General features: G+C 45.3%; 1 protein-coding gene and 1 pseudogene across 2 annotated transcripts in view, besides 1 other annotated feature; one reads left to right on the top strand and one right to left on the bottom strand.

Moving 5' to 3' along the window:
* The window catches only part of PTPN1 (protein tyrosine phosphatase non-receptor type 1), a 74859-nt gene that overhangs the window by 7086 nt on the left and 44454 nt on the right, over positions 1-23319 (bottom strand). Inside the window, exons 2-5 of one of the 2 annotated variants that reach the window (NM_002827.4) lie at positions 16703-16793; positions 13087-13187; positions 9678-9776; positions 3502-3639 (exon numbers count right to left, since the gene is read on the bottom strand). In NM_002827.4, the coding sequence (NP_002818.1) occupies positions 3502-3639; positions 9678-9776; positions 13087-13187; positions 16703-16793 (429 nt within the window). The remainder of the gene's footprint in view (positions 1-3501; positions 3640-9677; positions 9777-13086; positions 13188-16702; positions 16794-23319) is intronic. The other variant, NM_001278618.2, reaches the window with a different exon arrangement.
* Positions 15884-17083: an enhancer, noted in NCBI's record as "MED14-independent group 3 enhancer chr20:49177610-49178809 (GRCh37/hg19 assembly coordinates)". NCBI's record gives its function as "activates an origin of replication core promoter dependent on BRD2, BRD4, P300/CBP and CDK7 cofactors, and independent of MED14, by STARR-seq in HCT116 cells {active_cell/tissue: HCT116}" and the evidence as "EXISTENCE:reporter gene assay evidence [ECO:0000049][PMID:35650434]".
* On the top strand, positions 20159-20474 carry RN7SL672P (RNA, 7SL, cytoplasmic 672, pseudogene; annotated as a pseudogene).

Below are 23319 nucleotides of genomic sequence, written 5' to 3'. Positions count from 1 at the left end.
ATCACTTCCACTGTCTACATGGTTACAACTGGTTTCTCTCTGTCTCACGAGTCACAATGATGCTGGGCAGCCACCCATAAAATCTTGTCATAAAGCCCTGCAAGGCCTCCCGTGAAAAAGTGAACAAGGAACAGCAGGTGAGGCACTGGCTCTGGGCAACTTTCAGACGGGGGCTTCAAGATGATCTGGAGGTTTCAGAGGATTGTCACTTTAGAGAAAAAAGTAGCAGACTTGGTCTCCAAAGACTGGTGACTCCAAGGTGTGGCTCAACACCCAGCTGAAGAGGCAGTCAATGCGAACGGCATCAGCCCATGAACCGAGTGTGTCCTACGTGCTGGCGCTGCGCTCTCCCACCAGCTGCTCCAGGCAGGCACTCCCATCCATTTTCCGATGAGGAGGTGGATGTTTGGAGGCAGAGAGTCCATGCTGAGAGCCTGCTGCAGACACGTTTGAAAGGTGGACCCCAGCCCTTGTCCCAGAATGTCTCTTCCGTGGCTGGGTCTGCCCCAGAGGAACAGAAGCAATGGCCTGGCGTCTGTTTCCAGCTCTGCTCCTTCCTTGAGGCTTCTGGCGGCTGTGATCAAAAGGCAGCCCTCACTGGGGGGAGTACGCAACATCTTCAATGACCTAAGAGCTCCTAGTAAATGGGAACCAGTCACTTGGTAAGCAAGGCCCTGAGAGGGAAAGGGCTCTGGAAGTGAAAGTCTCCTAACATGGGCCCGGGAAGACAGCCACAGACAGGAACCATACCAGCCTGGAGAGTTTCCCTGTGGCCCAGTGCCAGGGCCACCTGGCGAGCAGCTGATGGCAGAAGGATTCAGGCCAGAGATCTGCTCATGATGCCTTCCTTCACTTGACGAATGTCCACACTATGCCAATCATGTGCCAGTCACTGTGCCAGGGAGGCGGGGGCAAAGACACCACCTCACCCTCACAGAGCTCATGGCATAGTTACTAGGACCTCCCCCAACTCTGCTGGGATGAAAATAATACATATTTAACCCTGCCTCAGCCATTAAATACACTAGTAAATAATATTTAATGTTCATTAAATATTAAATACAGTATCTTGGCACAGAACAAGGAGAAATTTGTGTATGTTAGGATAATTGCTAGACTCACACTAGGCAATTCCATCATTCTTTCCTCTCTAGAAAATGGTATCCATATAACCTTAATGACATTAAAGAAGAAGAAATACCTCTTCTATTTGGTGGGTGGAGGCAGGTGGGGAAGAAAAGGACTTAAAATGTATTTTTAAAAAATTATTATTATTATTTTGAGACAGAGTCTTGCTCTGCCGCCCAGGCTGGAATGCAGTGGCATGATCTCGGCTCAATGCAACCTCCGCCTCCTGGGTTCAAGCAATTCTCTGCCTCAGCCTCCCGAGTAGCTGGGATTACAGGTGCCCGCCACCACGCCCGGCTAATTTTTTTTTTTTTTGTATTTTTAGTAGAGATGGGGTTTCACCATCTTGGCCAGGCTGGTCTTGAACCCCTGGCCTCGTGAACCACCCACCTCAGCCCCTCAAAGTGCTGGGATTACAGGTGTTAGCCACCGTGCCCGGCCGTTAAAATGTATTTTAAAATTGAATAAGAAGCAAGCATGCCAAATGCAAGTTTTCCTTTAATCCTTGAAGGTGTGGGTTACCGCCCACTGACACCCTCCCTCACACCTGCTCACCTCTTTCACAAGGAACTCATTCCAGCCTTGTGCTAGAACAGACAGCTATGGCTGAGAAAAGCCTTTTAAAAACAAAGTCTGTTGGAGCAAACAGATCCTAACATCAAAACCTCTGAGCTGGCTGTATTCACTCTGCCAAGCAAAAAGCGCACAGCTCTTCTGCTCTGTTGAAATTCAGTTTCCCTCAACAAGCAAATAGTTTCCCAGAAGTCACTCTTAATGTCAGGCTTGCAAATGCTAAAAAGCATTCTTTTAAAAGGCTACTGCATAAATCCTCTAGCACATTCCAACACACTGCCCATGTTACTCCTGAGAATCTTCCAGAAAGCACCTCCATCCACCGTACTCAGAACCCTCTGCCCCATCAGGGCTATGGCAGGGCTGGTGACTCCGGCGCGGTCACCACCAGAGGGCAGAAAGCACTCACATCAGCTGCACTGCTACCATCCTCAAGAGCCAGGCAGCCCGAACCCCTTGCCTACGTCCTGGTAACCTGTGCTACATTCTAGATCTTACTTCTACTATTTTTTTTATTTATTTATTTTTGAGACAGGGTCTTGCTCTGTCACCCAGGCTAGAGTGCAGTGGTGCAAGCATAGCTCACTGCAGCCTTGAACTCCCGGGCACAAGCAATCCTCCTGCCTCAGCCTCCTGAGTAGCTGGACTATAGGGGAGCACCACGATGTCTGACTAACTGTTTTTGTTTTTTTGTAGAGACGGGGGTCTCACTATGTTGCCCAAGCTGGTCTTGAACTCCTGGCCTCGAGTGATCCTCCTGGCCTCAGCCTCCCCAAGTGCTGGGATTAAAGACGTGAGCCACCGCACCTGGCTTACATCAACTATGAAATGAATGGCAGGAGCCATGATGATTAAAAAGTAGTACTTGAGAAGGGGAGGCATGGGGTAACCCAGAAGCAGATCCCTCCCCACCCACACAGCCCTGGAGCCCCACTCCACATGGTCTCCCTACGGCTCCACCTTCCCTTCAGATAAAGCCCGTGCTACACACCCATGGTAACTGCTAACCCTTCCCGTATAGGACCTCCCAGAACCCTCGCAAAACCTGAGTTTGACAGAAGAGGAAACGGAGACACTGTGATGAGCTAGTAAGGTGGGGCCAGGATTCGACCCCAGTTAGGTTCTAGAGGTTGGTGGCTGGCCACTCTTCACTGGTGCCCCCAGGTGCTGCCGCGCACTCCCTCCACTGTTCCCCAGAATGACATGAACACCCCCAAGTTACGGATCCAGGGGAATTATTCCAAAGCCCCAGGAGCAGCGCGTTCAGCGGCAGTGCTGCTTGCCACAATGCCTTGCCATGTTCCAAGACCAACTTTTACCAAGCAAGTAGCTGGTGTTATAAACTCTTCCCACAACAAAAAAACCCAAGACCTGGCCCAGAAAACTTTCACTAGCTATGAAACTGGAGTGAGCCCCTATACCCCTTCTTCCCTCTCTTCAGACTCGAAGACTGAGGACCACAAAGAAGGCAGCATGCTTCACTGGGACTTGCAGGCTGCCGCTCCAGTCCCTCTGCAGCTGCACAAGCAGGAACCAGTCTTTTGGGTAAGAAACTCTCCTTTCCCTAAGAACTGGTGTTAACTGTTGTTAAAGGTCAGAGAGAGCACTGTGGCCTCCACCCTCCCTGGGCACTTGGTAGGTACACAAGTAAGCTCCGCTCACCACAGTGCCCAAACCACATCTTGCTCGGGGTATACAAAAGCCAGGAACACTGACATTAGGTAATATCACCCAAGGGATAAAGGAAGAGGCATGTGAACCAGTAGCCGCCTGAAGTGCTGAAGTGTGTGCTATACTCACTGTAAGGTTTTCCAATTCTAGCTGTCGCACTGTATAATATGACTTGATATCTTCAGAGATCAATGTTAATTTCAAATTTGTGTCTTCAAAGATCATCTCTTTTTCTTCTTTTTGTGGCCAGTATTGTGCGCATTTTAACTGGGGAAACAAATAATAGTGAATTATTGTGAGCAATATGGCAGTTTTTCTATGGCAGGAGGCTTGGAGCACATCCCACAAGCTTCATGATAACTCAAAGGCCTGGGGGTTTCTGAACATGGAAGCCATGGTCAGCACAGATGCCTGCCTCATGGGGAGATGGGGGTGGGGGCACGAAGCTGCTGACCGGGGCAGGTTGTGCAGACAGGGCTCAGACTTCCAAACCCATCGGCTCCCCGGTCAAACGTGGCAACGGGATCCTGCAGGGCTCTGACGCTTTCTCACCGTCTACGAGGTGAAGCCAGATTGAACAAAAGGCTTTGAAACTCCTCTGTGTAGCCATTTCAAACATTACCCAGGACCTGATCAGGCTGCTGGCATAGAATGTAGGTGCCTTACCCTGCACAGAAAACTCACAGGCAATTAAAAATAAAACTGGGAGAGACAGCAGGTGAGGCCCTTTGGAGAGGCTGAGCAGTTATCACCAAATACAGACTCCCTTTCAGAGAAGGCTTGGAGACAGGCTCCCCAGGGCTTGCCCTTTCATTCTGGTTTGGTTCAGTTCATTCAGAAAAATACTTTTGATGTTCTATTTTGATAATCTCAGACACTATCTGATGTTCTCAGTTTAAATGTAGCTCATTAAATTTTTCTTTAAAACAAGAAAATTTATGAAAATTTGGTTTCATTTAGGGTCTAAGACAAAAACTGACTCGAATTTAGTGACATTTTACTTGAACTAAGTTTCTGCCTCAGTTACACAAATGTTTCTGCTCATGGATAACTGTTGTGGACAAAAATGGCAGGTCAGCAGGGGCAGAGCTACCGGGTCAGCCTGACCATGTGCCTGGACAGAGGGAAGCTCAAAGCCCTTATGATTTTCAGCAAAAGAAATGTCAGCGTGTGTCAACAGCTCTTTGGCAAATGACACTGGCAGTTCACGTGCACTGACCCACTCAATACCTCCTCTGGGGCAAAGGATGGTGTGGGTGAAGGGAACCACTTCAGGGCCAGCTGTCTGTCAGAAGACACTGCTGTGCCCAGCAGTGACAAGGTGGACTATGGGGGAGGGCTGAGGGGGAAATGCTACGGACATGCAGCAGGAATTCAGAAGAGGGAAATGTTTCAGGTCAGCCAAGGTTACAGAAAAGAGAGATCAGAGAAAGCTCTGTGCAAGAGGCAGGTTTTGAAGGATGACTAGGATTTCCTAGGCAGTGACTGCAAATAAGAGGCTGAAAAGAGCAGCTGGAGAAGGGGCCAGCAGAGGCCCAGATCACAGACGACTGGCAGCAGGCCCAGGGACCTGTGGCATCATCTGGGGGCAATGAGGAGCCAGGAAGCACGTGAGGAGGGTGAATATAGAACCACAAATGCCTATTGGTCCTGCTCTACTGGAGCTGGAAGCTGCCCAAAAGACAAAACCAAAGCAAAATGTGGGAGAAACAAATTAGGAAACACCAGGTTGTGGTGCCAGCATCACAGCAAACTTCACAGTGCCAGACCAGAAGCCAACAGAGCTTTCTCAAGAGTCTGGACACAAGCCTGTCTGAAGTCTTAGCCAGTTTCATCCATGTCACCTTCCTGGATCAATGATGAGTTGCCAAAAGTGAACTCTTGAATGGGGACAATCTGTCACCATTGAAGCAATTCTGCCACTTGGCATGGAGGCGCTAATTACATGGCAAGACCCCCACTTAGCCAAAGTGGGTGTGGCAGCTAAAAGCAGGAACTTAGAAGAATGTGAAAAGATGAATTAATCCCACACTTCTAACAACTAGATCTTATAATGCCTCAAGACCCCAGAAACAAGAGACTGATCTGACAGGTTCCACCCCACCCGTGCTGGGGTGGGCATTCCACAGAGTGAGCAGACAGAGAAGGAAGCGAAGAACAGAAATGCAGGAGGAAGAGGCCACCCTTCCTCATCTCATAAGCAGGGCAGACGAGTCTTAAAGCTCACCTCCAGACAGCAAGCACTCACTTTCAAAACCAAACCTAATGCTTAATAACCCTCTGTAATCTGGGTAAAGACTAAGACTTTGGAACTGTACAAGTGAGGAATTCTGTCATGCAACTAAGTGTCAATAACCCAATATTTATTTTTAAGGACTCTCAGGTGTCTACAGCAACAAGCTATGCTCTGTCATTTCCAATAGAAATTTTTGTTTTAAACACACAAAATTTTTAAAAGGCACAAGATCACATTTCCAGTTACCCTATTACATTGATATATACGGCCATGAAAAGTAGATGGATTTTTATTAGAACACAGTACTTCACCAGGCCTCAAATTGAGTCCTATCTTGGGCTGGTACCAGAGGAACATGGCAGTGCCAACATGCTAGCATCTCTCATAGTTGCTGTTTCCACCATGAAGGCAGATGTTAAACAGTCCTTGGGGCCTTCCCAAACAAGTGGGCAAGTGGTGTTTGGAAAACCTATGAAAGACATCTACAGTAACCCTGTGACGGGTAATTTGGTTTCGCCAAAAATTATTAACACAGAGAACTAAGTAAGTAATTCTTAACACAGAGAACTAAGTACGAGAGAAAAATGAATTATATGGACCCTGTGATACAAAATGCAGTGTCTTGTGCATGAAAGCACCTGAAAGCAAACGGCAGCTTTAGTGAGGATTTCAGGAGGGAGATACGGGTGAGATTCTGCAATGGCCAATTAAACTCACCTTGCTTACTTCCCCCTTCTAAACAACAATCCCAACCCTTACGCCATGGTGCAGCCTACACTGAGGTGTCTAAAGTCAATCCTTAAACAGAACCAGTGAGAACTCTAGCCATCTGGATGACCCCAGTCTAACACACACAATCATCTTCTGCATAACTGGTTTCCAGGAAGCCCAGGGTCCCAAAAGATAACAGGCATGTTTGCCAAAAATAAGAGGGAGCATCCTACACTATTTGGTGAAGGAAGGAAATCAGAAGACAAGTATGCATTAAATGAAAACTCCCCAAAAGCTGGTTTTACCACAAGCTGTGTGGATCATTTATAATTAGATTAGCTGAGCAAATAAGATACTGTAACTTCTCATGATTTCTCCCAGCCAGCCCTCTGGGAGGGATAATGCTGATACAGAATTGAAAATGTTGATCCCAAAGAAACTTTAACAATCTCAAACCATACATTGCTTTTCATGCCAATCTGCACGCCCAAGTAATCCTCCAGTGGAATGGGATACTTAACAAAGGAAAGCAGGGACTGCTGGCACAGTTATCACAGTAAACTACAGCAAAGCCAACCAGCCATGTTCTCGATGCCACCACAGTAACCCAAAGGGAAAGGTTGTCACAGTGGATCTGTGGGCCATTTGTGGTCAGTCTTGAGTGGGAGACAATGAAGCACAGGGCCTGGTGAGGCTGGAACACATAACTACAGCACTGGACACTGCTCAAATACATAACTACAGCGCTGGACACCACTCCTTGCTGTAATGTGACAACAATTGCTAAAGCAAACCTTGTGCTCACAGCAAAGAGGTTTTGCCAAACACTTAGCAACAAAGAAATAAATAAGAAGCAAATGCTACTATATCTGGTAATTTCTGAATAAATGTCTTGATTTAAAATTCCCAACCCTCAATACCATCTAGAGCGGTGGTTCTCAACCGGGGGCAATTTGGCCTACCAGGGGACGTTGGACAAAGTCTGGAGTCTAGACAGAAACACATCTGACTGCCACATCTGGGGAGGGGGTGCTACTGGCATCTGGTGGATAGAGGCCAGAGATGCTGCTAAACTTCCTACAGCGCCCAGCACAGCCACTCCCTGCCCGGATCCCTAGCAGACAATGATCCAGCCCAAGTGTCAGTAGTGCTGAGGGTCAGAAGCCTGCAGATGGAGCTATGCTGAAGGCTTCCACAGGCCACCAGGCTTCCCCTTCCCTCTAAGACAGTGTGTGCTGTGAGCACCTGATGCTTTGTTTCTTTACTCAAAATTGCTGACTAGTGGTGAAGGGTGGGGGTTTGCTTCACATTTGTAACTTCACATTTTACTAATCAAGCTACTAAGGAGGGAAGAAAAAATTTAAAAACCACCTTTCACTGAAAAAGTTTTTTTCTAAGACAAGATACATTATATCATCAACAGAACACTTAGGCAAGCTCCCTGTCTGTTATTGTTGGGCAAATAAACACTTTCATTTTTTAAAAAGTAGGCAAGGGTAAAAAACCCCCAAAAAACCCCAACCCCAAAACAAAACAAACCAAACCCCTATGATTTTAAACACGCGCTGTCCTAAGAGGAAGACTTTCTGCGAGTAACTAAAGCCGTTTCTTTGTGTGTGGTGGAGGCAGAGGCTTCGTGGTTAATGCTTCAAGTTTTCACTGCTGAAGTTTCCTTTGATGTGTTCCTTCTTAACACTTGGATTTTTTACATTCTAGGGCCATGACTGTGCTTTTTTTGGAAAGGTGGCCTCTCTGGAGCCCTCACCTTCTTCTGTGGCCGGAGGCAACCAGGACAGCTGTGAGAGCCGTGTCCTAGCTGAGCCTGGACCTGGCAAGGCCCAAGGACACCCAGTTCCCTGCTCCTGGGCCACACGCTCCTGCTGGTCTCCACGATCCTCAGCCCATCTCCTCCTGGACCCCGCAGCAGGGTTGGCAGTGTTGGGGAGCAGCGAGGGCAGGGAGGCCGAGGAGCCTGTGGCCCTGCTGAACACTGGCCTGCGCCTGCACAGGCAGATGGTCTAAATGGGATGGTCTACACAGGATGGTCTACACAGACAATCTACACAGGACGGTCTACAGAGACAGTCTACACAGGACAGTCTATACACGACGGTCTACAGAGACAGTCTACACAGGACAGTCTATACACGACGGTCTACAGAGACAGTCTACACAGACAATCTACACAGGACAGTCTACACAGGACAGTCTACACAGACAATCTACACAGGACAGTTTACATGGACAGTCTACACAGGACAGTCTACACAGACAATCTACACAGGACAGTCTACACAGACAATCTACACAGGACAGTCTACACAGGACAGTCTACACAGGAGGCCGGCTGCCCAGAAATCGGCTATTCTCAGCTATTCCAACAGAGTGAGGAGGGCAGGGGAGAATGCAGGCAGTTGGGGAGCTGGGGGCAGCCGTCCAGGGGTGCCTGCAAGTGGGATGAACGTGGGCACTGGGACTCCTCGGCCCAGAGAACATGGTAAGAAACTAAAAACAGAAAACTTTGTCCTGGCTAAAGTTCCAAGAGTGGTGAGAGGTCTGTGTCCAGGGGCCTAGGGCCAGACCTGCAGGGTTCCGTAAGCCACACCATGTATTATCCTGTGAGGCAAAGGGAACCGCACAAGGGTTTTCAGCTGGGAAGAACCGTGGTGAGACTTGGATTTGAGAAAGCTCATTCTGAAAGCATGGTACAAAATGAACTATGGTAAGTCAAGAAGGAGAGGTGGCTAGACCCAGATGCAAGAGGAGTGGTGGCCTGCACAAATGGACACCGTGCAGCCACACGCTAGCCCGAGGGGTGTTTGAAAAGTTGCAGGAACTTAGAATGACACACATCCTGAAGTCAATGCTCACTCCGAAGAGGTGTGGCAGGGCAAGAGTCTAGGTACTGAATGGAGGCAAATCTCATCTAGTCAGCCGCTCCCACAGCTCCGCAGAGGTAGCCACACTCTCACCAGCCAAAAAATCAGACACCATGAAGATGCACTAAGAACTTGCTTTTCAAGATAAAAGCAGGTCTCCATAACTCCACACACAACTCCACACTGTGATGAGAGCCGCACAGGCAGCACAGGTGGGCGGAGCGCCACACGCACCACACAGGAGAAGGCGGGGGCGAAGAGGTCCGTGCAGTTCTTCCGCCTCCTCCCTTTTATTCACTTCATTAACTGGTTGACAACCAACATGCATTTATATGCTGCTGTTTTAATTTTTTTAAATAAAAATACTACGTAAAGGAAATACAAAGGCAAGAAAAATAATTTAAAAATCTGGACGAAAATGGTAACTATATGGAGTGGTATGCATGATCACATACACAGCAAATGAAGCCGAGACTTACCGAACCTTTCTCCATCACTCTGTTGAGCATGACGACACCCCTGCTTTTCTGCTCCCACACCATCTCCCAAAAGTGACCGCATGTGTTAGGCAAAGGGCCCTGCAAAGACACAATAACACAACATGTGACATCTGAAACATAACATGCTACAGCGTGTGCTCACCTTCTGCAGTCAGCTAACGACAGCGCCCTCAGTCCCCACAGCTTAGGCAGAGTGGTGGCTGAGGCTGGGACAGGGACCCACCTCTCTCTGCCTGGTGGTCAGTAACTGCAGCTCCATTTTCTACCAGGCAGCGAAAGGCGATTTCCGCATCTCAGTTCAGGGCTGGGCCAACCAAGGACAGAAAAATGCCGATTCTGCTTTCTGGCTCAGGCAGGCCCGCTAAGGGCCTCCACTGAGATTCGTCCCCAAGGCCCTTGGGCTATGGGACAAAACTCCTTGGTGCAGATGAGAGGCAGTGTGGGGGCGTGGCCAACCACAACACTTCTCTTGGTTCCAATCACATCATCTTGTGACCTTGCGCAAGTCACTTCATCGCTCCCTGCCCCAGTTTCCCCATCGCTTACTTGACTAATAATAGTCCCTATTCATAAAACTGTGAAAATGAAGTATGTTCATTTCTATAAAGTACTTAGCACAGTCCCTAGAATACAGCAACATCCAATGAAACATCAGCAACTATTCCTACCATCAGCAATGAGGACCCTGACGGCAGACAGCCTCCATCCTTGGCCCAACAAACTTAGGAGATGTAGAAACATAAATGGTCAATGAGGTGGCCCAAGGGGAACAGAGTCACTGGGGCATGAGGGTGTCTGCTGAGCAGCTGGCCCATTTCAATCCAGCTCACCTGGCAATGGGCACAGATGTTTACTGGACACAGGGTATGAATGCCTTGAGTTTGTCTCAATTATTAGCAGTGGCTGGAAGAGACATTGCCTATCACCTCCACATCAGAACCTGTCATGTCCTTGGCCAGCATCACTTCTTCTCATGGTTTCCATTCTCATCTATTTTCACCTAACCTCTTTATTTTTTTTTAATTTTTTTTGAGGCAGAGTCTCGCTCCATCACCCAGGCTGGAGTACAGGGGCGCAATCCTGGCTCACTGCAACCTCTGCCTCCTGGGCTCAAGCGATTCTCCTGTCTCAGCCTCCCAAGTAGCTGGGATTACAGGTGCACACTACCACACCCAGCTAATTTCTGTATTTTTAGTAGAGACGGGGTTTCACCATGTTGGCCAGGCTGGCCTCGAACTCCTGACCCAAGTGATCCACCTGCTTCAGCCTCCCAAAGTGCTGGGATTACAGGCGTAAGCCACCGTCCCCGGCCCATAAGCTCCTTATTCTTTAAATCTTCTCCCTTTAAGTCCCATCACACTTGGCTCAACCACTAGCCCTCAGTGTCCTCTCACTTTCTTTCCTGAGCTCATCTTGAACTTACTACCTGAACAAGACAAGTCAGCACTCCCTGTGCTGAAGGGACTCGGAGAAAAGCAGACCACATTTAACTCTTCCCTCCCCAGTGAACAGATAAACAGCTCTTGGCAGCCAGAAATCCCGTGGCACATGGCTGGCCACCTGGGCCTTGCATTCTCCACCCTGGCATGAAGACCCCAGTCACTGCAGCTCTCCACTACTCCCTTCATGCCTTCCCTAACTCCCAGCACCACCCCAGTTTAGAATGGTCTGAAGGATCACAATCCCCTAAGATCTGCAAGGACACGCACCACACTTAGCTGACACTGCACGGGGGAGGTGAAGGAGGGCCCCTTGGACATTATTCTCTGCTCTTCTGTACTTCTGACTTTTAAAAAATGAGAAGAGAGACTTGTATTATTACATAATGAACACCACTGAAAAAAAAATGGGAAGGGTGTTCTTGGTTTGGGCACTGGGGAAATGTTTCGGTCATAGTGTCCAGGGGTGATGCTTTGGGGTCAGGCTGCCTCGACTCCTTTAGTAAATCCCCAGGGCAAAGGGAAACTGTGTAAACAGTTTCTCAACATCCCCAGTGCCACCTCACAAACCAGACAGAGCTTCTCATGTCCCAAGGAAGCGCTAGGATGCGGGGTAGGCAGGACAGTAGCACAAGGATACATGGTCATTTGCTAATGCAACACTTGACATGATACACCCGACAACAGGTATTTAAAGGGCTTCCTGACTCCATACCAGAGTTGAAGGGCTGAAATCAAGAAGTAGGAAATTTGACTTCTCCAAAAAGCAAAGTCCTCAAGAAGTCACTTTTGCCTCAACCTCATCCCCAGACATCTCCCGCCTTATCAACCCCCTCCCCCATCAGCCTCCCCTAAATACCCCAGAGGTGCTGGGAGGACCAGGGGCTCAGGGCCTGGTAAAGGCCTGCCCTGTATCCATGCACCAAGAACTTACTCAATGGCCCCATAGGACTGAACACAGCTGGGCTGATGCTCTGCATCCCAGATGACGAGAAGCATCTGGGCTGATTTTAGTCATAAATGGGGAGGAACTGGGACAAGACAAAAAGGCAGTGAAGAAAGGCCTCAGTTGAACGCGCCCTGACCTAGCTCCTTGCTCAAAGCAGCCTTTCTTCATAGAGCATTCTGTCTTCCCCAGAATTTTAATTTCCTAATTATTAAGCAAAATTACAAATGTTCAAAATCGCCCTGTGGCCTAAAGCCATATAAGACTGAAAGCTGACATGGAATGAGAAACAAAAATTATGATGAAAAACAAAATAAGAAACCCAGTCTTTTTAGACCAACTTACAGGTAACAAGTTAAGACTTGAGAAGATTAATTAAAAAGAAACTCTTTTTATCCTCTTTCCCAGATACCCTTTTGGTCACATGCCACTGAGTGTTTTACAAGAGGCTCAATTATTAAACCACTTTCAGGATTTTGTTTCCATAAAGATGCCAAAAGCCAACAGAAATTTTAAGTCATTTTTCATGCTTGTTCACATGATCCAATGATGCCTTTCTTCTGGCCAAAGAATGAGAACCATGCTGAGCTACTCTGAATGGCTCTGGACAGAGATTCCTGGTCTACTGCTAACGTTCTTAGATTTGCCATCACAAGTGCTCTACGACAAATACTTCTGGAAGCAACACAGGTACAGACCCTCCTCCAGCCATGGCTCTGCTGTCTCTGCCAACAGACCACACAGGCAACTCTGGCATTTTAATGTTGTTTTCTATAAGCTCTCATTTCCAGCAATGTCATCTTATGCTTCCCAGAAAAGATTAGCGTTCCTTATAACCAAACTGAACCTTTGAAGGATGATTTTTCCCCCTTCCTTGCTGCTTTTTGGTATGCTGAAATCCTGACCTTCTAAAGGATGTGGCAGATTTTATTTGAGGTGTGGATAACAGCACTCTCAAACTCTTAAATTGACATTAAATAGAAAATTCAGACAATCTGCTTACCTGGGTAAGAATGTAACTCCTTTGGGCTTCTTCCATTTTTATCAAACTAGCGTTGATATAGTCATTATCTTCTTGATGTAGTTTAATCCGACTATGGTCAACTGAAAGACAAACCAGAACTCAGAGGTTAATCCCGGAAAAGCTGAATGTGTACATACAGGTGCACACCCTACAGAAAAGCAAAGGTGAGTTGGTGGCATTAGTGGCATTCACACTGGCTGAAGCCCTGTTTTAGTTGAGATTAGTCATCAGTATGGGGCGACTGGGATTTTCTGAAAGGGTTTTCAGAAGTGTCTGAAGCTTCACACTATGAAGCAACAGCAGTAAGCCATATTAAAACATGGATCATGTCCTATCTGGGAAATCTGTTCTCAGGTCATATCTTGTTGTGATACTTATTACTCTCCCCCAAAAACCTTTCAGGGCAGAGGAGGGCATCAAAGGATCTGTTCTCTGATGCATAACTTTTTTTTTTGAGTCAAGAGTCTCACTCTGTCACCCAGGCTGGAGTGCAGTGGCATGTTCTCAGCTCACTGCAGCCTCCATCTCCCGGATTCAAATGTTTCTCCTGCCTCAGCCTCCCGAGTAGCTGGGATTACAGGCGCAGGCCACCATGCTCACCTAATTTTTCTATTTTTAGTAGAGATGGGGTTTCACCATGTTGGCCAGGCTGGTCTCGAACTCCTGGCCTCAAGTGATCCACCCACCTCAGCCTCCCCAAAGTGCTGGGATTACAAGTGTGAGCCACCCATGCCTGGCTGACATAAACTTTTAGAGGGCAGAAAATATGGTGGCTTCAATCTTTAAAAGGGAACAAAACCCACCATGAATTCCACCTAGTCCCTACAGCTGTTGCTGGTACAATGAGCTACAGTAGGTAGGATTTAAGATCGAACTTCAACCTAACCTCTATCCAGTGGTTTGAAGATTAAATGACCTAAGTACACAGCAGCATGAAGTCATACCTTGACCTTTATACGAGGTTTTTGTTTTTTTTTTTTAAAGTTCAAGTATAATGAACTTCAATGATTCTAAATTTTTAAAATTCAGAGCATATCACAAAGACACTTGAAAGAGAATTTAAGCCCAAACACTGAAAGTATATTAAATTTACCTTTTAGTTTTTAGAAATAAACTTTCATTTGGAAGTCCTGCCCCAGGTCACTAAAATTAAAAAGCCACTTTTTTTTTCTTGTATCATTTGTTTGTCACAAAAGCAGTAGCTCTCTGAGGGCCACTTTCCTTATCCTGTTAGTAGAGCTAATAAGAGCAGGTGGGGACCTTTATTTCTGGCACAGCACAAGGGACAATAAACTCAGGTGATCACCTATAAATAGTACCTTCTCCCTAGGTCCAAAGGGGATATGAATGGGGATAAGTGGTCTGGGGCTTTTTGTTCTAAAGAAGAATTCCAAAGAGAGATGTCTTTGAAAACTAGCCACCATCTGGAACACTGTTTCTCATTATGGAGGCTTAGTACAAATAAAGATACTTGGATAATTTTTAAGTGGATCACAGAGATAAAAGACCTCAAAAATTACATAATGGTATTGGTTGGTTATGTGAGTGGGTTCAAACAGCACTGGGTGACTCTGGGCAAACAACTCACCTCAGAGCCTTGGTTTTTTCATTTGCTAAATGGTAGGTGACAAGAGGGTTGTGGGAAGAGTCAATGAGCTGAGGTGTATACAGAGCCCCTCGTTCAGCAAGTGCCTGTAACTGTGGACTGCTGTCATCACCAGCAGCACTGTGAGCTGGGCAGCAGGTGACCTTCTACCTTGACTCATTCTCCCCCATAACCTTCACAGCAAATGACTGTTTCTACTGGAGGATAGGAGTAGGGGAGGAGGATAGGAGTACGGGAGGAGGATAGGAGTACGGGAGGAAGATAAGAGGAGTGAGATTGGGAGTGAAAAAGTTGGAGAATTGTTTCCCTGGAATAACTTTTTTTTTTTTTTTTTTTGGCTAGTCAAGTAAAGCAGTGGGGATGGAGAAGGAACAAAGAAATCTGTAACTGGTTGTGATCACATAGTTGTAAACACTACTGTACTTGGACCAGCCCCTGGAAGAATATTTTAAATACTGGTTTTTTTTCTCTGTAAAACTGATTCATAAAACCATTTAGATAAGAAATGTTAAAAAATGTAGCAAAGGAATATTAAAGACAAGATTATTCCCTAATTAGAGCAACTATAGCAAAAGCTAGAGATCCAGGGTATCCTGGCACCATGTCAAAGAGGTGAACGGTGATGGTTCTGTTGCGTGTTGATCAGCGGTCTGGAGGTTTCTGGCCAGGACTTCACAGCAGAATCACCAAGGTTTTTTGTTTTTGTTTTTAAACAAATATCAATGAGGTGCCTCAGCTGAGATGTGCTAAATCAAGAGTACCATGTGTTGGCGCCAATCATGTCACCTGATGACCTAGAAGTGCACTTCAGATGTTGGTGACAACCATCCCCACCACAGACAACATTTACTGAGCACTTATGTCTGCGTGAGGTACTGGGCGCTGGGCTAAGCAGCTTATGTTGCTTCATCTTCACACACTCCTATGAGAGAGAACAACTTGCCCGAAGCCACTCAGTTCTTAAGCGGCAGAGCTGACACACAAAACCAGGCAGGGAACCATGGTGGCAGGCCAAGAGGCACACGTTCTACACCAAGTCTAGGTCCATTTTTAGACCCCTTCCAGGAATCTGGGCGCCACATAAGTCAGGTCAGGATGCACTGCTAACCCTTCTGGCAGAGAACAATGACAGCCACCACTCCCAGCCATGGGCACAGGACCTGCAGGAAGTGCCCACTGGAGGAATGACTGGAGAATCTTCTGCATCCCTGGCAGAGCACGCTACCATGGAGACACTGGCAGCTACGACCCCTCACTGCCTGACAATGTCTAAAGACCTGGAAGGGGGTCAAAAAGGCCTCTGTGGCCTAGAGGAGATGGCGCAGTTCAAGTCCTGTACTCAGCTCCAGTTTTCCTTACTTTATGCAAATTCTAACATGTTAAGTTATTTACTTTTCAGCTACCGGCAGACTGACAGCCAATCACTCAGAAGGCGGACAGGGCTGCCACAGGCCAGCAGGCACACTGACAATCCTAGGAAGAACTAACAGCAGGAAAGAGGGAGAAAAATGATGAGGTTGGCGGGGGTGGAGGCGGTGGGGACTCCAGACAGAGCTGCCTTGCATATTCAGCGCAGGGGACGACAGTGCCCACCCCGAATGCCTGTGCGGGGCTTCATTACAGCGGAACACAGTGCTCATGCCCTAATGACGCTGCTGCTGAGTCATCCAGAAAAGGTTTTATTATGCCTGCTATACTCTGCTTCAGCTGGTAGGAAAATGATTCATCACAAAAACAGTCAAAGCTTAAGAAAAGTGCTTTGAACTTCACTGAATTTTCCAGAAACTGAAACCTGAGCCCTTCTATAATGGTGGAAAAATGAGCTATTACTATAAGTCTCTAATGCCTTTACTATAGGAAACAATCGCGTCATAAACCTCTGCTACATTGATTTATTATTATACTAAACCCTGAGGCGAAAGGAGTCTTGACTAAAAAGGCCTGCAGCAAAGGAAGAGCAAGACTGGTACCGGCCACGTGGATACTTACAGGGACTGACGTCTCTGTACCTATTTCGGTTTTTGTTCTTAGGAAGCTTGGCCACTCTACATGGGAAGTCACTGGCTTCATGTCGGATATCCTACAAAAAAGAATAAAGACATTTAACTGACCGTCAGACACTGAGGAAGACCCAGCAAAGAAACAGACATCAAAGAGAGCCGGGCAATATGGGAAATGCAAGGTGATAATTCAGAGGTATGTACCAGGCCATGGGGGAAAACCGAGGAGGAATGAGCACAGGCCTTGGGTAGGAGGCAGTGATGTGGGGCAGGAAGATGGAAAGACGAGGAAGAGGGCAGAGAGACAGACAGGAGGGACAATTCACTCTGGAACACCCTGCACAGCAAAGGCATGGGGGCTGGAGATCACATCTCATGCCAGGAACAGTGAGTGGGCAGTAGGAGGTGCGACAGACGGCTGGAGGACATGGGTGGGTAGCCCAGATCTCAGAGAGCCTTGAATGCCAGGCCTGGGAGTTCCAACTGCAATTTCTATAAAGCTACGATTATTAAAAATAGATAAAATGTACTTTTATGCCAACAAACTATCCAACTGCTTTCCTAGGAGGTGGTAAACAAATCCTATCACCCTGTTTCAACAGAAGACTACACCATGGCTCCTGATCACACCTAAAATTCCACGATAATCACATTAAACAATCTTTTATTTGTGTTTTATTACTTAAAAAATTTTATATTGTTTATTACTAAAAAAACAAATACACACAACGTGAATGTACTTACTGCCACTGAACTGTGTACCTAAAAATGGCTAAAATGGAACACTTTATGTTTTGTATGTTTTACCAAAATTAAAAAAAAAAAAAAAGACAGCCCCATCCCCTACGGTGGGAATAGGAGAGCAGACAACAGCAATAGAATTCTGGAAGCTGGAAATCAGGCTGATTAGTGGTTGGCAGTTGTGAGAAAGCAAAATTACAAGTGAACAGTAAGAAAGCCAGACCGCCCGAGATTTCCACTCCAGATTCCTCCCAAGGCTCTGGCTGTGCTCCCAGTCAGGAAGGAGGAGTGGGATTCCCTGCAGGGGATAAAGGTAGAGCCATCTGGGAAGACCTGGATTGCCATCTCATTCCCCAAGCTCCTTCCATGCTCCTCAGACTTCTGCAGAAATCTAAAGACATACTTTCTGGAAAAATGTAAACCAGAAGGTCTATGAACTGCAGCAAGACTGTTGGCACAGTGGAAGATGTGAGCGCTCCACCAAAAATGGGGTAAGCGGCCATACACAAGCCAAACACCAGGAACTCGAGTCCTTTTCCCCAAGAGACACTCACACCGCTGGCAGCTAGACCCTTCTCCTCCAGGTAGGAGGCAGAGCATCTCTAGATAATCTGACCAGACAAAAGGCACAACCAAAAGGTATCCTCAGAATGCACAACTGGCAGCCTCCCTAGAGGCCCTGAGGCCAGCGCAGTGTTGACAGGCTCCTTACACCTGCTCAAGGTTCTCATACTCCAATAAGCCCCTACTCTCCACCACATGCAGGTACCACTGATGACCAGATATAACAGGAAAGTCTCTAACATAAAAACAAAAAACAAAAACCAGAAAAAAAAAAAAACCCTTGGGGGAAACAAACTGCAGAGAATAGAAAGATTTCAAATACATATTAATATACTCAGAAAGAAAAGATCTTGCATCTATGTATTAAGAACAGAATGTTATATAAAACAAAGATGTCTCTCGAAACTTAAAAACAAGATAGCAAAAATGACAAGCTCAACTGAAGAATCAAATATAAGTAGAAGAAATCCCCCTGCCCAAGAAAGTAAACCAAGAAAAAAAAATAGAAAATTAGCAAACAAAAAAATACAAGGAAAGAAAACATCAAGAAGTAATTCAAGAAAACCTCCCGACCCATCCAGTACTCTTCATAATGATAAAAACAGACCCATTCTAAGGCACAGTAATTGCAATCCCAGAATTCTGCGGACAAAGAGAATGTTCTGTAAGTTTCTGGGAAGAAAAAACAGTTCACTTTCAAAGGATGAGGTGATTAGCACAGCTTCAGACTTTGCAAGAACACTGAAAGCTGGCCAGCAATGAAGCAATGCCTTCGAGATTCTAAGAACAATGATTCTGGAATTCTATACCTAGCCCAGCAGTCATGAAATGAGAAGGGACAATAAAAACATTCCGAGGTGGGTGGATTGCCTGAAGTAGGAGTTCAAGACCAGCCTGGCCAACACAGTGAAACCTCGTCTCTATTAAAAATACAAAAAATTAGCTGGGCGTGGTGGCGGGCACCTGTAATCCCAGCTACTCAGGAGGCTGAGGCAGGAGAATCACTTGAACCCAGGAGGTGGAGGTTGCAGTGAGCCGAGTTGGCGCCACTGCACTCCAACCTGGACAAGAGCAAAACTCCGTCTCAAAAAAAAAAAAAAAAAAAAATTCCCTGACGTGTAAGGTCTCAATACCTTTATCATCCATGCTCCCCCTTTTCCCAGTAATCCACTGGAGCATCTTTTCCACCTGAGTGATGAAATAAACCAAGAAAGAGAAAGATATAGGATACATGGGGGATGGGAGAGGAAGACCAAGAGTGAAGACAAAGGAAATTTCTGCAAAAACTGGAGGGAGAGATAGCAGGGTGACAACTACATGACAGACACGGGAAGCGAGCAGGCTGGATTGGAGGAGTATGACTCACGAGATAGCTGTGTGAACACGCTATCCCAACCATGCCATACCAACCATGACCTAACAAAACTACTAGAGGAAAATGAGAAGACCTGAAATCCAGGAAACTGAATATCCAATAGAGAAGAAAAGCAAAGAAAGTCTCAAGATGACAGCTGTGAGTGGCAAGTCTATAGACCAACCACCCAGATACATGGAGAATGGAAATTTCAAGTAGGATGTCTCCAAGGAAAAACTTGAAACTGAAACCACTCTGTCCAATACAGTAACCCTGAGCTACATGTGGCCAGTCTAAAAAGAGATGTTCTGTAAGTGTAAAATACACATTGGATTTTGAAGACTTAGTAACAAAAGAAATAAATAAAAGCAAAATATCTCAAGTATTTTAAATATTGACCATTTATTGAAATAACATTTTGAATGAACTGGGTTAAGTAAAAGATACTATTAATTTCATCTGCTTCTTTTGACCTTTTTTACTATGGCTACAAAAAAAGGTAAAATCATGTATGTGGGTTGTATTATATGTCTACTGGACAGCACTCACTGATCTTGTGGAAAATCATTCTGTAAGGCTATAAGAAGATATGGGAACATTAGCAAAAGCTACAAAGAAAATTATGCAAATTAAAAAAAAAGGCAATTATCATGGGGTGTGGTGGCATGCGTCTATAATCCCAGCTACTTGGGAAGCTGAGGCAGGAGGCTCACTTGAGCTGAGAAGTTTGAGATGAGTCTGGACAACATGGCAAAACCCCACCTCTACAAAAAACACAAAAATTAACCTGGTGTGGTGGCAAGTGTCTGTAGTCTCAGCTACGCGGGAGGCTTAGGTGGGAGGACTGCTTGAGCCCGGGAGGACTGCTTGAGCCCAGGAGTCCTGGGCTGCATGCGTTATGCCGATCGGGTGTCCGCACTAAGTTTGGCATCAATATGCTGACCTCCCGGGAATGGGGGACCACCAGGTTGCCTAAGAAGGGGTGAACTGGTCCAGGTTGGAAATGGAGCAGGTGGAAATTCCTGTACTGATCAGCAGTGGGATCATGCCCGCGAAGAGCCACTGAACTCTAGCCTGGGCAATATAGTAAGACCCCATCTCTTTAAAAAACAAAATAGGAAAAAAATTAAAAAGTCAATTATTAACAACAGAAATAATGTTTAAAAAAGAAACACAGTACAGTACAGTACAATACTATCTGTGACTATGTGCAGAGGCAAATAATGTAAACAATGAGTACTGATTTAACCAAAAGGTAAAACATTGGGAAAATGGGGGCGGTGAAGCAGAGGGGAGGAAAAGAAAGGGGATGGCTGTTTAAGAAAACTAAATCATCCACCTTAATAATGGTCTCGAATAATGTATCAAAAGATAAACATTTTGAGCTGGGCATGGTGGTATGTGCCTGTAGCGTAGTCTCAGCTACCTGAGAGGCGGAGGCAGGAAGACTGCTTGAGCCCAGGAGTTCGAGGCTACAGTGAGCTACGATGGTGCCACTGTACTCCAGCCTGGGCGACAGAGTTAAGACCCTGTCTCTGAAAAATAATAAAAAGAATTTATAAATTTAAAAAAGATAAACATTTTGCTTAGAAATATGGAGATATATACAAGCTGTAATCAATCAGCAGAACAAAGATTGGGAGTGGTGGTCAATGAGAAAGACCAGAGAAATGGTCTGAGGTGGGGACAGCAAACCACCATATTTTATTTTATTTTTTAAAAGATGGGGTTTTGCTCTTGTTGCCCAGGCTATTAATTTCATCTGCTTCTTTTGACCTTTTCTACTATGGCTACAAGAAAATGTAAAGTCATGTATGTGGGTTGTATTATATGTCTATTGGACAGCACTCACTGATCTTGTGGAAAATTGTTCTGAAATAATGCGATATCGGCTCACCACAACCTCTGCCTCCCGGGTTGAAGCAATTCTCCTGCCTCAGCCTCCCAAGTAGCTGGGATTACAGGCATGCACCACCATGCCCAGCTAATTTTGTATTTTAGTAGTTTCACCATGTAGGTCAGACTGGTCTCAAACTCCTGACTTCAGGTGATCCACCTGCCTCAGCCTCCCAAGGTGCTGGGATTACAAGTGTGAGCCACGACACCCAGCCAAACCACTGGATTTTATCATAAACCGATTACGGTACTATTTGACTCCTTGAGTCATGTGCATATTCAATTTGGATTTAAAAAATGTCCACATTCTGCTATTCTGCTTACTTATTTATAAAACTGTAAAAGGGCAGGTAAGAGTTTTTGACTCATACTAGAGAACAACTAATAACAGAATGATGGAGCTCGAGTGGTGGTTCACATCTGTAATCCCAGCACTTTGGGAGCCGAGGTGGGAGGATTGTTTGAGCCCAGGAGTTCAAGATCAGCCTTGGGCAAAAAAATGATGCCTCGTCTCTACAATACATTTAAAAAAATAGCCGGGTGTGGTGGCGTGCACCTGTGCTTCCATCTACACAAGGGGTTGAGGCAGGAAGATCACTTGAGCCCAGGAGATTGAATCTGCAGTGACCCATAAACACATCACTGCACTCTAGCCTCTCCAGCCTGGGCAGCAGAGTGAGACCCTGTCTCAAAACCAAAAACAAACCCACACAAAAAAACAACAGCATGATGACAGATTACAAACCTACCTAAGAGTAAATAAATTAATCCAATAGTAACACATCCACTGCATCACTTACAGATGAGATTAAGCTTTCAGGGAAATGCTATACAGCACAGAAAAAAAAAAAAAGACCTGAAAAAGTAAAAATCTAAGTCTTAAATTTGTTATTCTACGTATCATTTGGAAGCATTCAGCAGTGAGTACAAATTCTGCCCTTGAAGTGAAAAACAATCTGGTCAGTCCAGCTGGTGTGACTGGATGAAGATGTAAGAAATATCTGATACAGATAAACCACTCAGCTAACGAATATTTACCCGGAGCAAATAAGGGCCGAAATAACAGTTGCAACTGATTTTATTCAGCCAAAAGGATTATGCATATGTACTTTTTTTGGTGTGTGTGTGTGCATGCCTGAGAGACAGAGAAATAAAAAAAAAAAAATAGAGGTAAGAAGCAAAACGTGGAGATGTCATTTAATAAAGACATTGGGAAAATAAAAGGTATCTACATAATACTTTTTAAAAAACAGATTTTAAAATTAAGGTATACTCAGAGTAAAATGCAAAGATCTTAAGTATGTACTTGAATACATTTTTAAAACTGCTTTTGAGGTATATTTTACAAATAATAAAACATACCCACTTAAGTGTTCAGTGAGTTTTAAGCAATGTCTACAACCATTTAACTATCAATGCAACCAAGATACAAAACATTTCCATCACCCCAAAAAGTTCACTTGTGCTTCTGGTTCCAGTCAATTCAACCTTCCACTCCCACCCCGCTACTGCCACCAAAGGCAACCACAGTCTGCTTTGTATTGTTCACATTTTTTTCCATACCATCTAACTTATTGCATTTACTAGCATAAAGTTTGCATTACACTCCTTTGAATTCTCTGTTTTTCTTCCTGATACTGTTAATTTGTATGTCTTTTCTTTTTTCTTGGCCAGTTTAGCTAGAAATTTATCAATTTTACTGATCTTTACAAAGAACCAGCTTTTCATTTAATTGATTTTCTTTGCTCTTTGTTTTATACTTCACTAACTTCTACTCTATTTCCTTTCTTCTTACTTTGGATTTAATTTGTTCTTTTTCTAATTTCTTACAGACAGCATGTAGTTGGGTCATGCTTTTTCAATCTAATCTGACAATCTTCATCCTTTAATTCAGGTATTTAGAACATTTACATTTAATATAACTATTGACATGGCTAGATTTAAATCTGCCATATTGCTAGTTTAGCTGCTTTCTATTTGACTCATTTGATCTTTGTTCCTTTTTTCCTCTGTCTCTGCCTTCTTTTGAATGTTTTTCTTTTTTTGCATCT

Source organism: Homo sapiens, chromosome 20 (genome assembly GCF_000001405.40).
Source record: "Homo sapiens chromosome 20, GRCh38.p14 Primary Assembly".
In the NCBI taxonomy this organism is placed as follows: domain Eukaryota; kingdom Metazoa; phylum Chordata; class Mammalia; order Primates; family Hominidae; genus Homo; species Homo sapiens.
This window is presented reverse-complemented; position numbering and strand designations above follow the sequence as displayed.